Here is a 16,015-nt window from a genome sequence, read left to right as displayed (position 1 = left end):
TTGTCCTGTTTGGCTTTTTTCACTTAGTTTAATGTCCTCAAAGTTCATTCACGTCATGGTATTTATGAGAATTTCATTTTTTCTAAGGCTTAAGTATATCCCATTGCATGTATATATCACACATTTATCTGTCAATGGACATTGGGTTAAATCTATCTTTTTTGGGGGGGAGGGGATGAAAAGGTCTCACACTGTCACCAGGCTGGAGTGCAATGGCAGCTAATTTTAAATTTTTTTTGTAGAAGTAGCGGTCTTGCATTTTGCCCAATCCTGTCTTGAACTCCTTGCCTCAAGGGTTCCTTCAGCCTCAGCCTCCCAAACTGCTGGAATTACAGATGTGACCCAGCATGCCCAGCCCCATCTTTTGACTATTGTGAATAATGCTGCTGGGAACAACTGGCGTGCAAGTATCTGAGCTTTTGCTTTCTTTTTTTTTTTTTTTTTTTTTTTGAGACGGAGTCTCGCTCTGTCACCCAGGCTGGAATGCAGTGGCCTGATCTTGGGTTAATGCAAGCTCCGCCACCCGGGTTCATGCCATTCTCCTGCCTCAGCCTCCCGAGTAGCTGGGACTACAGAAGCCCGCCACCACGCCCGGCTAATTTTTTTGTATTTTTAGTAGAGACGGGGTTTCACCATGTTAGCCAGGATGGTCTCGATCTCCTGACTCTCCTGACCTCGTGATCTGCCCACCTCGGCCTCCCAAAGTGCTGGGATTACAGGCGTGAGCCACAGGGCCCGGCTGAGCTTCTGCTTTCAATTCGTTTAGATAAACACCTAGAAGTGGAATTGTTGGACCGTATGGTAATAATATGTTTAATTTTTTTAGAAACTGCCATACTGTTTTCTACAGTGGCTGTACTATTTTACATTCCCACCAGCAATGCACCAGAATAATAATTTTCCATATCCTTGCTGGTATTTATTTTGCTTTTTGTTTTCTTTTTCTTTTTTTCTAATAGCCATCCTAAGGGACCTCAGATGCTATCTCACTGTGGTTTTGATTCGCATTTTCCTAATGGTTAGTGAAGTTGAGCATTTCTTTATGTGCTTATTGGCTATTTGTGCTTGTATCTTCTTTGGAGAAATGATCCAAGTCCTTTGCCCAATTTGAACTGGGTTGTGTTGTTGTTGTTGAGTTGTAGTAGTTCTTTACATATTCTGGATATTAATTCTTTGTCAGACATATGCTTCACAAATATTTTCTTCTATTCCATGGATTGTCTTTTCACTCTTTTGATAGTGTCCTAATTCAATAAATAATTCAATAAAATCTGACTAAACAGTGTCCTGACTATAAATGTTTTTATTTTATTTTTATTATTTATTTATTTATTTATTTTTTGAGACAAGAGTCTCGCTCTGTCGCCCAGGCTAGAGTGCAGTGGCACGATCTTGGCTCACTTGAACCTCCGCCTCTCGGGTTCAAGTGATTCTCCTGCCTCAGCCTCCCAAGTAGCTGGGACTACAGGCACACGACACCACGCCTGGCTAATTTTTGTAATTTTAGTAGAGATGGGGTGTCACCATATTGGTCAGGCTGATCTTGAGCGCCTGACCTCAGGTGATCCACCCGCCTTGGGCTCCCAAAGTGCTGGGATTACAGAAGTGAGCCACCGTGCCCAGCCTACAAATGTTATCAATTTGATGAAGTCTAATTTATCTATTTTTGTCATTGTTCTCTGTGCTTTTGGTATGATATCCAAAAAATCATTGCCATATGTCATGAAGATTTTCTCCAATGTTTTCATCTAAGAATTTTAAGGTTTTTAGCACCTATGTTTAGGTCTTTGATCTGTTTTTAAGTTAGTTTTTCCCTGTATTATAAGGTAAACATCCAACTTCATTCTTTTGCATGTAGATATCCAGTTTTCCCAGCACCATTTGTTGAAAAGTCTGTTCTTTCTCCATTAAATGGCCCTGGCACCCTTGTCACAAATCAGTTGGCCATATAAGCCATAGTTTATTTCTGGGCCCTCTATTCGCTTGTGTCTGTATGTCTCTCCTTATGCCAGTACCATACTGTTTTGATTACTGTAGCTTTAAAGTAAATGTTGAGGTCAGGAAGTATGAAGCCTCCAACTTTGTTCTTCTTTTTCTTTTTCTTTCTTTTTTCTTTTTCTTTTTTTTTTTAGTATTCATTGATCATTCTTGGGTGTTTCTCGGAGAGGGGGATTTGGCAGGGTCATAGGACAATAGTGGAGAGAAGGTCAGCAGATAAACATGTGAACAAAGGTCTCTGGTTTTCCTAGGCAGAGGGCCCTGCCGCCTTCCGCACTGTTTGTGTCCCTGGGTACTTGCGATTAGGGAGTGGTGATGACTCTTAACGAGTATGCTGCCTTCAAGCATCTGTTTAACAAAGCACATCTTGCACCGCCCTTAATCCGTTTAACCCTTAGTGGACACAGCACATGTTTCAGAGAGCACGGGGTTGGGGGTAAGGTTATAGATTAACAGCATCCCAAGGCAGAAGAATTTTTCTTAGTACAGAACAAAATGGAGTCTCCTATGTCTACTTCTCTCTACACAGACACAGTAACAATCTGGTCTCTGTTTTCCCCACATTTCCGCCTTTTCTATTCGACAAAACCGCCATCGTCATCATGGCCCGTTCTCAATGAGCTATTGGGTACACCTCCCAGACGGCGTGGCGGCCGGGCAGAGGGGCTCCTCACTTCCCAGACGGGGCGGCCGGGCAGAGGCGCCCCCCACCCACCTCCCGGACGGGGCGGCTGGCCGGGCGGGGGCTGCCCCCCACCTCCCGGACGAGGCGCCTGGCCGGGCGGGGGCTGCCCCCCACCTCCCGGACGGGGCGGCTGCCGGGCGGAGACACTCCTCACTTCCCAGACGGGGCGGCTGTTGAGCGGAGGGGCTCCTCACTTCTCAGGCGGGGCGGCCGGTCAGAGACGCTCCTCACCTCCCAGACGGGGTGGTGGTGGGGCAGAGACACTCCTCAGTTCCCAGACGGGGTCGCGGCCGGGCAGAGGCGCTCTTCACATCTCGGACGGGGCGGCGGGGCAGAGGCGCTCCCCACATCCCAGACGATGGGCGGCCGGGCAGAGACGCTCCTCACTTCCTAGACGGGATGACGGCAGGGAAGAGGCGCTCCGCACTTCCCAGACTGGGCGGCCGGGCAGAGGGGCTCCTCACATCCCAGACGATGGGCGGCCAGGCAGAGACGCTCCTCACTTCCTAGACGGGGTGGCGGCCGGGCAGAGGCTGCAAACTCGGCACTTTGGGAGGCCAAGACAGGCGGCTGGGAGGTGGAGGTTGTAGCGAGCCGAGATCACGCCACTGCAGTCCAGCCTGGGCAACACTGAGCACTGAGTGAGCGAGACTCCGTCTGCAATCCCGGCACCTCGGGAGGCCGAGGCTGGCAGATCACTCGCGGTCAGGAGCTGGAGACCAGCCCGGCCAGCACGGCGAAACCCCGTCTCCACCAAAAAATACGAAAACCAGTCAGGCGTGGCGGCGCGCGCCTGCAATCCCAGGCACTCGGCAGGCTGAGGCAGGAGAATCAGGCAGGGAGGTTGCAGTGAGTCGAGATGGTTGCAGTACAGTCCAGCCTTGGGTCGGCATCAGAGGGAGACCGTGGAGAGGCAGTGGCAGAGGCAGAGGCAGGGGCAGGGGCAGAGGCAGAGGGACAGGGGCTTTTCTTTTATTTTTGCATAAAGACAAACTTTATTGAGCCCCTCAGCACTAGCTCTCTTTCTCCTGCACAGTCTTCGTTCCCCGGAGACGTCCAGTCCGGCGGGGAGCAATGAGACCCACTTTGCGGCCAGCAGGGGCATCCATCTTGAAGGCTGGCCGGGCCTACCACAAATATAAGGCAAAGAGGAACTGTAGGCCACGAGTACGGGGTGTGGCCATGAACCCTGTGGAGCATCCTTTTGAAGGTGGCAACCCCCAGCACATTGGCAAGCCCTTCATCATCATGAAGGTGTTTGAAGTTTGTCAAATGCTTTTTTGCATTAATGCAAAGAACTGTGTTTTTTCTTTCATTCTGTTTATGTATACATTATATTAATTACTTGTTTTATATGCTGAATCCTTCCATTTCAGGAATAAATCCTACTTTGCTATGGTGTATAATCCTTTTAATATGTTGTTGAATTTAGTTTGCCAGTATTTTGTTGAGGAATTTAGCATCAATATTCATAAAAAAATATTGGCCTGTAGCTTTCTTTTTTGTAATGGCTTTGTCTGGCTTTGGTATCAGAATAATGCTAGCTTCATAAAATGAGTTAGGAAGTGTTTCCTACTCTTCAGTTTTGTGGAAAAGTGTGAGATGGACTGCTTAAGTATTTAAATGTTTGATAGAATTCATCAGTTAAGCCAGCTGGTCCAGGGCTTTTTTTCACGGTAGGTTTTTGATTACTGCTTCAATATCCTTACTAGTTATAGGTCTATTCAGATTTATAATTCTCTATGATTCAATCTTTGTAGATTGTGTGTTACTAGGAGTTTGTTCATTTAATCTAGGTCATCCAATTTGCTGGCATACAATTTTTCATAGTGTACTCTTATAATTCTTTTTATTTTTGTAAATTCAGTGATAATATCACCGCTTTCGCTTCCAATTTTAATAATTTGAGTCTCTTGTCTTTTTTTTGTTTTTCCTTAGTCAGTCTAGCTAAAAGTCAAGTTTGCTGACAATATAGACAATGTAGACAACTTTTCAAAGAACTTCTGGTTTTATTGAATCGTCTGTATTGTTTTCAGCCTGCCTTTTCTGATGGCCTTTTATTACAGCCTGCCCTATGGATTTAGCACTTTCTAACCAGTCTCCACAATTGCATAAGCGTATTACTTCTTCAATTTATCCGTCTATTCCTGTGCACCTCTCTCTCAATCTCTCCCTCTCTCTCCCTCTCTCTCCCTCTCCCTCCCTCCTTCTCTGTCTCCGCCTCTCTCTCCCACCCTCCCCGCCTCTTACAGGCACACACACACACACACACACACACACCCCTTCAGTACACACAAAAGGAACACACCTGGGAAACCAGAGCATTTCCAGTTCCTTTTCAGTTACGACCCACTCTCCCCAGATGGAAGTACTATTGTGACTTCTGGCTGGACAGCGGAATGTTGCCTGCTTTATAATTTAAATCAGTGGAGCCACAGAGTACGTCCTTTTCTGTCTGGTTTACTTTAGTCGACATCTCTGTGAGATTCATCCACATAGTTGTAGATTGTTCATTCTTGTTGCAATAGATTATTTCATGTGAGTTCATTCCTGCATCTGCTGATGGGTGCTTGGGAAGTTTCCAGTAGTTTTTATTATTCTGAATAGGTTACTGGGCATTCTGGTAAATATATTTGGTGAATATATGTACCAATTTGTGGTAGGCAAATAACAACTGTCAGGATGTGATATCTTTGATTTCAATAAGTGGAAAGTCTGAAAGATATGGAAAGAAACTACCAGAAAAAAAAAATCTGAGTAAAAAATATAGATTTTCTACAGCCAAACCTGGATTGTCTCACCCTAGGTGCTTCAATTCTCACTCCCACCAGCAGGGTTGTTTCCGTAGTGTAGTGGTTATCACGTTCGCCTAACACGCGAAAGGTCCCTGGATCAAAACCAGGCGGAAACAAGTGGTTACCCTTCTTACGTCTTGTTCCTGATCCTGAGAGTCTCTATTTGAACCAGATAGGACTTTTGTATATGAACAAGCACCTAAATCAAAGGATCTTATATCTTCCTTTTTTTTTATTTGAGCCACCTCAGGAACATTTTTGCTCCCTCCTTTGTCCTGAGCCGCGGCGAGGCCCACATCGCCCCATCTTCCCGCGCCCCAGCATGTCGCTGTCCCAGCTCCCTCCCCTTATGCTCTGCATGGCCTGTAGGTTCTAGGGCCCAAAGCAAGCTCTCGTGGTGCAGGACCCCGCTATACTGTGCAGGCGAGACTGGCTTCCTTGAAATTTCCAAAGCCACTTGTGCAGGTTCTTCGCAAAGAGATTTTCCTCAGGAGTTTCTAAAAATAAGCAATGCTTAGGACACAGACCCGTGAGAAAAAAATAAAAAAAGAAACAGGGCCATGCTTTGAGCCAAGTGAATAACTAATATTCTATTGTCTGCCCTTTACCCCTAAGTGCAGAGAGAATTTTTCACAAAATAGGTAAGAGGCAATTTCAAGTGGATACTTAGAAACTGTTAAGTGTTAAAATAAATAAATCAATAAATAATAAAAAATTAGATACTGGCCTGGCCTCTATGGGTACTCAATGCCAGATGTCGGCATTATTGGTAAGATGTGCCAATCAACTGAACTGATCAATAACAGAGAAACTGATTTCTTTCTTAAACTTAAGAGTGTGCTAGGCTGGACGCCACAGTGGCTCAGGTCTGTAATCCCAACACTCTGGGAGGCCGAGGCGGGTGGATTACTTGAGGTCAGGAGTTCAAGACCAGCTTGGCCAACATGGCGAAACCCCCATCTCTACAAAATTACAAAAATTAGCTGGGCGTGGTGGCACGCACCTGTAGTCCCAGCTACTTGGGAGGCTGAGGTATGAGAATTGCTTGAATCTTGGAGGAGGAGGTTGTAGTGAGCCAAGATTGTGCCACTGCACTCCAGCCTGGGCAACAGAGTGAGACTCTGCCAAAAAAAAAAAAAAGTGTGCTAAACCAGCATTGTCACTTTAAATTTCACTGTAATAAAGCAGATGATTCCCTAACTCCTAATATCCACCTTCTGTAATCTACCTGTAGTGCCTCACTGAGTTTTTTAATAAACTCTCCAACCAAATGGTTGTAAATTACTTGTTTTAACAACAAAACCAAAGAGCAACAATAAAAAAAAAAAAAGCTTGATATAGGGAAAAAGAGGAGGACCACATTCATGTAACTTTCATTACAGTATATTGTTATAATTGTTATATTTTATTATTAGTTGCTGTTATTTACCCTGGCTATTTTATCAATTAAACCATTATAGGTATGTGTTGTAAACCCAAAATATCTGAGACAGATCCCAACCAATTTAGAGAGTTTATTTTGCTAAGGTTAAGGATACGCCTGTTACACAGGCTCAGGAGGTCCTGACGACCTGTGCCCAAGGTGGTCAGGGTACAGCTTGCTTTTATACATTTTAAGGAGACATGAGACATCAATCAGTATGTGTAAGATGTACATTGGTTCAATCCAGTAGGACTGGACAACTCAAAGTGGTGGTGGGGTCTTCCAGGTCACAGGCAGAAAAGACACAAAAGACAAAGGTTGCATTCCTTTAAGTCCTTGATCAACCTTTCACTGAATACACAATTTAGTCTGGCTCCGTGAATCTGCATTTTTACATAAACAATAAGGCAGAGGAAACAATCAGATATGCATTTGTCTCAGGTGAGCAGAGGGAGGACAGTTTTTTTTTTTTTTTTTTTTTTTTTGAGACAGAGTCTCACTCTGTCACCCAGACTAAAGTGCAGTGGTGCGATCTTGGCTCACTGCAACAACCTCCGCCTCCTGGGTTCAAGCGATTCTCCTGTCTCAGCCTCCTCAGTAGCTAGGATTACAGGCGCATGCCACTACGCCTGGCTAATTTTTGTATTTTTAGCAGAGACAGGGTTTTGCCATGTTGGCCAGGCTGGTCTCGAACTCCTGACCTGAGGTGATCCACCCACCTTGGCTTCCCAAAGTGCTGGGATTATAGGCGTGAACAACCGCACCCGGCCAGAGGGATGACTTTCTGTCCCACACCTGTGAAGGTAAGCTATTAGTTTACATTGCCAGGGTGAAATTCAACAGAATTGTTTTAGGATAAATACCTTAAAGCCCACAAGGAATTTCCTTGTGGGCAAATTGTGAGGGAGGTGTGTGGCTCTTTTATCTTTTTAGCTATCTTGTTTAGGAATAAAATGAGAGGCAGTTTTGCGTGTAGTTCCCAACTTGACTTTTCTGTTGACTTAGTGATTTTAGGGTTCTAAGATTTATTTTCCTTTCACAGCGTGTATAGAAGAAAAAAACAGTTATTATAGGGTTTAGTACTATCAGCAGTCTCAAGCATCCACTAGGGGTCTTGGAATATATCCCCCATGAGTAAAGGGACTATTGTATCTGAAACTGTACCAAACTAAGAAGAAAGGCATAGAGTCTGCACTAATGGAACATCCACAGTTGGGGCCCAGGCTTTTTCTAGGAACAGAATTACTGAGAAATTCACTGATCTTCCTCGCATGCAGAAGAATTTGTTATAAGATTCTATGAAACAGGTTTTCCTGCTTTACTCTGAAATGCTGCATTACTCTGAAATGACCAAATCACAAAATATTGAGATTATTAAAAAAAAATTTTTCAGGTCACTAAATGTAATTGCCCAACGAGTTCACCTTGCCTGCTGCCTAGACAGAGCCAATTTATCAAGACAGGGAAATTGCAATGGAGAAAGTAATTCACTCAGAGCCAGCTGCGTGGGAGAACGGAGTTTTATTATTTCTCAAATCCGTCTCCCTGAGCATTGGAGCACTGGGGGATGGTAATTTTAAAAGATAATTTAGCGTCGAGCGCGGTGGCTCATACCTGTAATCCCAGGACTTTGGGAGGCCAAGGTTTGCAGATTATCTGAGGTCAGGAGTTGGAGACCAGCCTGGCCAACATGGTGAAATCCCATTTCTACTAAAAATACAAACATTAGCTGGGCTTAGTGGCGGGAGGGGAGCCTGTAATCCCAGCTACTCGGGAGGCTGAGGCAGGAGAATCGCTTGAACCCGGGAGGCGGAGGTTTCACTGTGCCGAGATTGTGCCATTGCACTCCAGCCTGGGCAACAAGAGCGACAGTTGGTCTCAAACAAACAAAAATAAATAAATTAATTAAAAAATAATTTAGCGGGTAAGGGGCTTGCTGATTGGTCGGGTTGGAGATGGAATTATAGCAGGGGTCGAAGTGAGGTTTTCTTGCTGTCTTCTGCTCCTGGGTGGGATTGCAGAACTGGGTGGTGGTAGCTGATCCATCAAATGTAGGGTCTGCAAAATATCTCAAGCACCGATATTAGGTTTTACAGTAGTGATGTTATCCCCAGGAGCAATATGGGGAGCTTCAGATTCTTGCAGCCAGAGGATGCATGACGGACCCCTAAACCATAATTTGTAATCTTGTAGCTAATTTGTTAGTCCTACACAGGCGACTGGTCCCCAGGCAAGAAGGGAGTTTCTTTTGGGAAAAAGCCGTTATGGTCTTTGTTCTAAACTATAAACAACTATAAACTATAAACTAAGTTCCTCCCAAAGTTAGTTCAGCCTACATCCAGGAATGAACAAGGACAGCTTGGAGGTTAGAAGAAAGATGGTTAGGTCAGATCTCTTTCACTGTCTCAGTTATAATTTTGCAGTGGTTTCATAAAGGCAAAAAAAAAAGTTTAAAGTTTATTAATAGCAAAGAAGTCAGTCAACTTTAAAAGTTTCCTCTGCTCGGTCCGGCGCGGTGTCTCATGCCTGTAATCCCAGCACTTTGGGAGGCCGAGACAGGTGGATCGCCTGAGGTCAGGAGTTCGAGACCAGCCTGACCAATACAGCGAAAAGCCACCTCTACTAAAAAAACTCCACGAAAATTAGCTGGGCATGGTGGCGTGTGCCTGTAGTCCCAGCTACTCAGGAGGCTGCGACAGGAGAATTGCTTGAATCTGGGAGAATTGCTTGAACTCGGGAGGCGGAGGTTGCAGTGAGCCGAGATCGCACCACTGCACTCCAGCCTAGGCGACAGAGCGAGACTCCGTCTCAAAAAAAAAAAAAAAAAAAAAAAAAAAAATTTCCTCTGTCAAAATACCTTTCCTTCTTCACCTGGCCCAGCATTTGTGAAGTATTTGGGTCACTGGGGAAACCCCTTCCTGGGTCTTGGGTTGTGGAGTTTTGGTATTGCTGGTTTTGATAAATGGAAGATACAAGGAAAGGAAAAACTTGCCTCAAATATGAAAATGCTCTAAAGGAAAAAATACATTTCACAATACTAAATACAGGACATCCAAGAAACCTCCATTTTAATTTTTAGAGGTGACTCTTGGGTGTACGGTAGTTTCCACAGAGTAGTGGTTCTCACGTTTGCCACACACAAGAAAAATCCTCTCCTGAAACTGGGCAGAAATATATCCTGCCAGTATTGTTTTTTTTCTTCTCTCTCCACTTTAGCTTAGTTAATTCTTCTTTCACTAAACTCGACTCCAGTCGTCAACACAAACGTCAACACCAAAGGTGAACACTGAACATTGTTGCAAAACTAGTATCGCTGTGGGGCCCTAACTTTGGTCTCTACAGTTGCGCAGCTTCTGACCTGGGCTGAGGCGCAGGTGGCACAGGTCCCACCTACCTGGTTCGCCACTCTTCACAATTAGGAAAGAGTGAGGCTCTCAAGGTTTATCAAACGGAGCAGAACTCCCTTTGGGGTTTGTTGTTTGTTTGTTTGGGTTTTTTTGTTTGTTTTCTTTTTGTTTTTGAGACAGGGTCTCACTCTGTCGCCCAAGCTGGAGTGTAGTGGCACAATCAGGGCTCACGGCTGCCTGGACTCCCCGGGCTCAAGCAATTCTCCCACCTCAGCCCCCAGAGTAGCTGGGACCACAAGCTCATGCCACCATGCCAGGCTAAAATTTTAATGTTTTGTTGAAGGCGGGGGAAGGAATGTCTCACTATATTGCCCAGGCTGGTCTCGAACTCAAGGGCTCAAGAGATCCTCCCGCCTCAGCCTCTCAGAGTGTTGGGATTACAGGCATGAGCCACCACGCCTGGCAGAGCTTCCCTTTGAATCACATCTGCGCACATTTCATTGTGCTATCTTTTTATCATTGATCCATATATATCACTTAAGAGTTCTTTGCCAGATATTTGTATTGCATATATCTTCTTGTCACTTGAGTCTGGGAAACAGTTTAATGATCTCTTGTGATGAAATTGTTAATTTTGGTGGCACATGTCTATAATCCCAGCTACTTGGGAGGCTGAGGCGGGAGAACTGCTTGAACCTGGGAGGTAGAGGCTACAGTGAGCCGAGATCGCACCACTGTACTGCAGCCTGGGCAACCCAGCAAGACTCCGTCTCAAAAATAATAATTAGAAGAAGAAATTGTTAATTTTTATGAAGTCCAATTTATTTAACTTTGGTTTAGTTATTTTTGTGTCTCCCTAAGAAATTTTTCTTTCCCCAAGCTCACATAAATATTCAATTCTTTTTTATCCCCCTCATAACTTTATTTATCTTTCACTTTTAGAGTTATGAGCAAAAAACCTGAACAGGCACTTCCAAAGCAGAATATGTTAATGGCCAATGAGCACATGAGCATATGTTTTGACAGCAATAAAAAGTTTACTGATTTCTTTATTTTAACCAGTGGTGACCAGACAAAAGACCTCAACGGTCTCTGGTAACATTATTTTCTTGCCGGAAATCTTTTCAAAACTCTTCCGTGAAGGTTGTGTTTTTCTGGGGGAGGGGTGGAAGCATGATTTGAGGTGGGTCGCAGATGGAGATAAGACAAGGTTTCTGCCTTCAGGATTTTCAGGAATATCTGCCCTTCAGAAGCTCTGCTTAATGTGATTCTGCTGATCTCCCTTTCTTTTTCAGTTTGCTCCATTCCTCCAATCCTGAGACTTACTTCATAGCTGCATTTGATCTACATCTCTTCGGCTCCAGATGGTTTTACTAGGGGTCAATGTGGGCTGCATCTCTCTGGGACAAAGGGAGAGTTACTGGAGTCAGATTGGCCTTTCCAGCCAAAACAGCCTACCAGTTAGGTGCTCGAGCCATAAGGTCCTATCAGTTAGGCGCTCAGTCGCTGCTAGGAGCCATCCTACGCTGTCAGAAAGCTCTTCCTTAGTGGGTGGAATGGGAAGTCCCCTGGGACTCGAAATTGAGGTCAATCAGAGGTGGGGGGTCAGAAATTCAAGACAGTCTAGAGCTGGAGGTGGGAGCCCAACCTTTCTGGCAGTTCCAGTGGTGCCTGTACACACTAGATTGGTGGGGCCCTAATTTGTGGGGCTAGTAGCAGAATTTATTGGAATTGAGGAAGAAAAGATTTTAAGTTGTAGTTATTTGATGTAATGTGCAAGTATTATCACATATTTTGCTAGAGAGTAAAGGTAAGTCCATTTTTCTTTTGATTAAAAAAAGTATTGAGGCAAAAAGAGCTTGCCATGAGATTTACTCCCTTGACAAAAAAAAAATTTTTTTTTTTGAGATGGAGTTTTGCTCTTGTTGCCCAGGCTGGAGTGCAATGGCGCAATCTCGGCTCACCACAACCTCCACCTCCCAGGTTCAAGCTATTCTCCTGCTTCAGCCTCTCCAGTAGCTGGGATTACAGGCATGTGCCACCAAGCCAAGGCTAATTTTGTATTTTTAGTAGAGACAGGGGTTTCTCCATGTTTGTCAGGCTGGTCTTGAACTCCTGACCTCAGGTGATCCACCCACCTCAGCCTCCCAAAGTGCTGGGATTACAGGCGTGAGCGACCACGCCCGGCTACAAAAATTTAAGAGTACAATACAGTATTGTTAACTACAGGCACAATGTTGTACAGCAGATCTCTAGAACTTACCTTGCATAAATGAAATTCCCATTTTCCCCTTGCCCCAACCACAGGCAACCACCATTCTGCTTTCTGATTCAACGAGTTTGGTTGTTTCAGACATCTCAAGTGGAATCAAGCAGTATTTGTCCATTTGTGGGAGCTCATTTCACTTACAATAATGTCCTCAAAGTTGATCCATGCTGTTGCATGTTGCAGAATTTCCTTTTTTTTTTTTCTTTTGAGACAGGGTCTTGCTTTGCCTTTCAGGATCGAGTGCAATGGTATGATGTTGGCTCACTACAGCCTCAACCTCCTGGGCTCAAATGATCCTCCCACCTCAATCTCCTGAGTAGCTAGGACTGCACACCACCATGCTTGGCTAATATTTTAATTTTTTGCTCTCACTATATTGCTCAAGCGATCCTCCCACCTCAGCCTCCCAAAGTGCTGGAATTATAGGCGTGAGCCACCATGCCTGGCCAGAATTTCCTTTATTTTAAAGGCTGAATAATATTCCATTGTATGTATATACCATATTTTCTATATTAATCCCTCCACTGATGAACATTTAGGTTGCTTCCTCATCTTTGATATTGTGAATAATGCTGTAAGGAACATAGGTGTGCTAATATGTCCTTGAGATTCTGAATTCAATTTTTTTGGGTATATACCCAGAAGTGGGGTTGCTGAATCATATATGGTAGTTCTATTTTTTTTTTTTTTTTTTTTTTTTTTTTGAGATGCAGTCTTGCTCTGTCACCCAGGCTGGAGGGCAGTGACGCAATCTTGGCTCACTGCAACCTCTGCCTCCTGGCTTCCAGTGATTCTCCTGCCTTAGCTTCGCGAATGACTGGGATTACAGCTGGGCACCACCACAACCAGCTAATTTTGTATTTTTAGTAGAGACGGGGTTTCGCCATGTTGCTCAGGCTGGTGTCGAACTCCTGACCTCAAATGATCCATGCACCTTGGCCTCCCAAAGTGCTGGGATTATAGGGATGAGCCACTGCACCCGGCCTGGTAGTTCTATTTTTAATTTTTTGAAGAAACTTCATGCTGTTTTCCACAGTGGCTGCACCATTTCGCAATCTCATTAACAGGGTAGAAAGTTCCAATTTCTCTACGAACTCACCAACACTTGTCTTTTGTTTTTTTGATAATAGTTATCCTAACAGGTATAAGATGATATCTCACTTTTGGTTTGATTTGCATTCCCTCGATGATTAGTGACATTGAGCGTCTTTTCATATGGTTGTTGGCTATTTGTATATCGTCTTTGGAGAAATGTCTATGCAAGTCCTTAGTACATTTTTATTACTATTATTGTTTTTTGAGACGGAATTTTGCTCTTGTTTCCCAGGCTGGAGTGCAATGGCGCAATCTTGGCTCACTGCAACCTCTGCCTCCGGGGTTGAAGTGATTCTCCTGCCTCAGCCTCCAGAGCAGCTGGGATTACAGGCATGCGCCACCACGCCCAACTAATTTTGTATTTTTAGTAGAGACGGGTTTTCTCCATGTTGGTCAGGCTGGTCTCAAACTCCCGATCTCAGGTGATCTGCCCGCCTCAGCCTCCCAAAGTGCTAGGATTACAGGTGTGAGACACCACACCGGGCCCATTTTTATTTTTAACCAGGTTTTTGTTTTTATTTGTTTTGATTAACTACTGAATTGTAAGAGTTATGTATCTTGGAAATTAACCCCTTATCAGATATATGGTTTGCAAATTTGTTTTCCCATTTAATAGGTTGCTTTTTTTTTTTTTTTTTGCTGTGCAGAAGGCCTATAATACCAGCACTTCGGGAGGCCGAGGTGGGTGGATCATCTGAGGTCGGGAGTTTGAGACCAACCTGACCAACATGGAGAAACTCTGTATCTACTAAAAATACAAAATTAGCTGGGTATGGTGGCACATGTCTGAGGCAGGAGAATCACTTGAACCCGTGAGGTGGAGGTTGCGGTGAGCCAAGATTGCACCATTGCACTTCTGCCAGGGCAACAAGAACGAAACTCCATCTCAAAAAAAAACAAACAAACAAAGAAAAAGAAACTCTTTTGTTTGATGTAATCCCATTTTTCTATTTTTGCTATTTTGGGCTATGATTTTGATGTCATAGTAATTAAATCATTGCCAAGACCAATGTCCTAAAGCTTTCCTCCCAGAGTTTTATATTTGCAGATCTTAGATTTAAGTCATTAATCCATTTTAGTTAATTTTTGTGAATGGTGTAAACAAGGGTCTAATTTCATTCTTTTTCATGTGAATATCTAGTTTTCTCAACATCATTTGTTGAAGAGATCGTTTTTTTCCCATTGTGTGTTCTTGGCAACTTTGTTAAAGATCAGTTGGCCATATATTTATGGATTAATCTCTGGACTCTCTATTCTGTTATTTTGGTTTATATACCTGTCTTTATGCTAGTACCAGACTGTTTTAATAACTGTAGCTCTGTAGTATATGCTGAAATCAGGAAGTGTGATGTCTTCAGCTTTGTTGTTCTTTCTCAAGATTGACTTGGTGACTTTGGGTTCTTTGTAGTTTCATATGAGTTTTATATGAATTTTATGGTCTTTTTTTCTGTTTCATAAAAACTGCCAGATAGATTTGGATACGGATTGCATTAATTGTACATCACTGAAAATTTTAACAAACATTAACAACATTTCACCTTCATGATTAAGTTTAATTCTTTTTTAAGGGGGAGGGGTGCTACTATAAATGGGATTGTCCTTTAATTTTTCTTTTTATGTAGTTTATTGTTTATTATTTCATGTAGTTTATTGTTACTGTATAGTAATGCAAGTGATTTCTGAATGTTGATTTTATATTCTGCAAATATATTGAATTTTTTCATTAGTATTAACACTTCTTTTTAATGGAGTCTTTAGGAGTGTCTCTATAAAAAGTCATGTTATCTTCAAACAGGCTCAATTTTACTTCTTCCTTTCCAATTTGGATGCTTTTGATGGTGTTGTTTTTTTCTTATGTTGAGACAGGGTCTTGCTTGAACTCAGTCTTCAGGTTGACTGATAATGCATGATTCAAATCACATGATTGGTATTTCTGACGAGGTTATGGGGTGTGGCCAGCCTCATCTTAAAAAAAAATACACTATACCCAAGCGGGGTGGTGGGCACTTATAGTCCTAGCTACTTGAGAAGCGGAGGCAGGAGGATCCCTTCAGCCTAGGAGCTTGAATCCAGCCTGGGCAACATAGTGAAATGCTATCTCTTAAAACAAACAAAACACTACTGTTAGGTGGTCCAGCTTTTCATTACACAGGAAGAGATGGGCTCGTCCTCAGAAACTAATCTAGAATGACATCTGACAAAGAACAGAACATAAATAATTCTGCTTTTCTAGGAAACTAATAACAGAAACCAATAGCCTGTTCTGAGGAGAACTGGGTGGCTAGGATATAAGAAAAATGGTAAGCTTTACACAAAAAATATTTTAAACCATGCATATTATCTATGCAAAATTTTAAAGAATTAACAAACTATTACATGAAATACAGTTTAGAAATGACAAGA

At 43.4% G+C, this 16,015-nt stretch overlaps 1 non-coding gene and 1 pseudogene across 1 annotated transcript, besides 2 other annotated features; both read left to right on the top strand.

Annotated features, from left to right (window-relative positions):
- On the top strand, nt 3,789-3,931 carry RPL8P1 (ribosomal protein L8 pseudogene 1; annotated as a pseudogene).
- Nucleotides 5,438-5,732: an enhancer, noted in NCBI's record as "tiled region #3569; HepG2 Activating DNase matched - State 12:CtcfO, and K562 Activating DNase unmatched - State 1:Tss". NCBI's record gives its function as "activates a minimal TATA promoter and a strong SV40 promoter by Sharpr-MPRA in HepG2 and K562 cells {active_cell/tissue: HepG2 | K562}" and the evidence as "EXISTENCE:reporter gene assay evidence [ECO:0000049][PMID:27701403]".
- Nucleotides 5,522-5,594, top strand: TRV-AAC3-1 (tRNA-Val (anticodon AAC) 3-1). Its single transcript has one exon. It is a non-coding gene; the product is annotated as a tRNA-Val (tRNA).
- Nucleotides 13,141-13,914: an enhancer, noted in NCBI's record as "H3K4me1 hESC enhancer chr6:27610387-27611160 (GRCh37/hg19 assembly coordinates)". NCBI's record gives its function as "activates a minimal SCP1, AML or CMV promoter by ChIP-STARR-seq in naive H9 embryonic stem cells {active_cell/tissue: H9 hESC(naive)}" and the evidence as "EXISTENCE:reporter gene assay evidence [ECO:0000049][PMID:30033119]".

The sequence above is a fragment of the Homo sapiens genome, chromosome 6 (genome assembly GCF_000001405.40).
Source record: "Homo sapiens chromosome 6, GRCh38.p14 Primary Assembly".
Taxonomy (NCBI): Eukaryota; Metazoa; Chordata; class Mammalia; order Primates; family Hominidae; genus Homo; species Homo sapiens.
The sequence above is the reverse complement of the archived record's forward strand: the minus strand, read 5'-3'. Positions and strand labels throughout refer to the sequence as shown.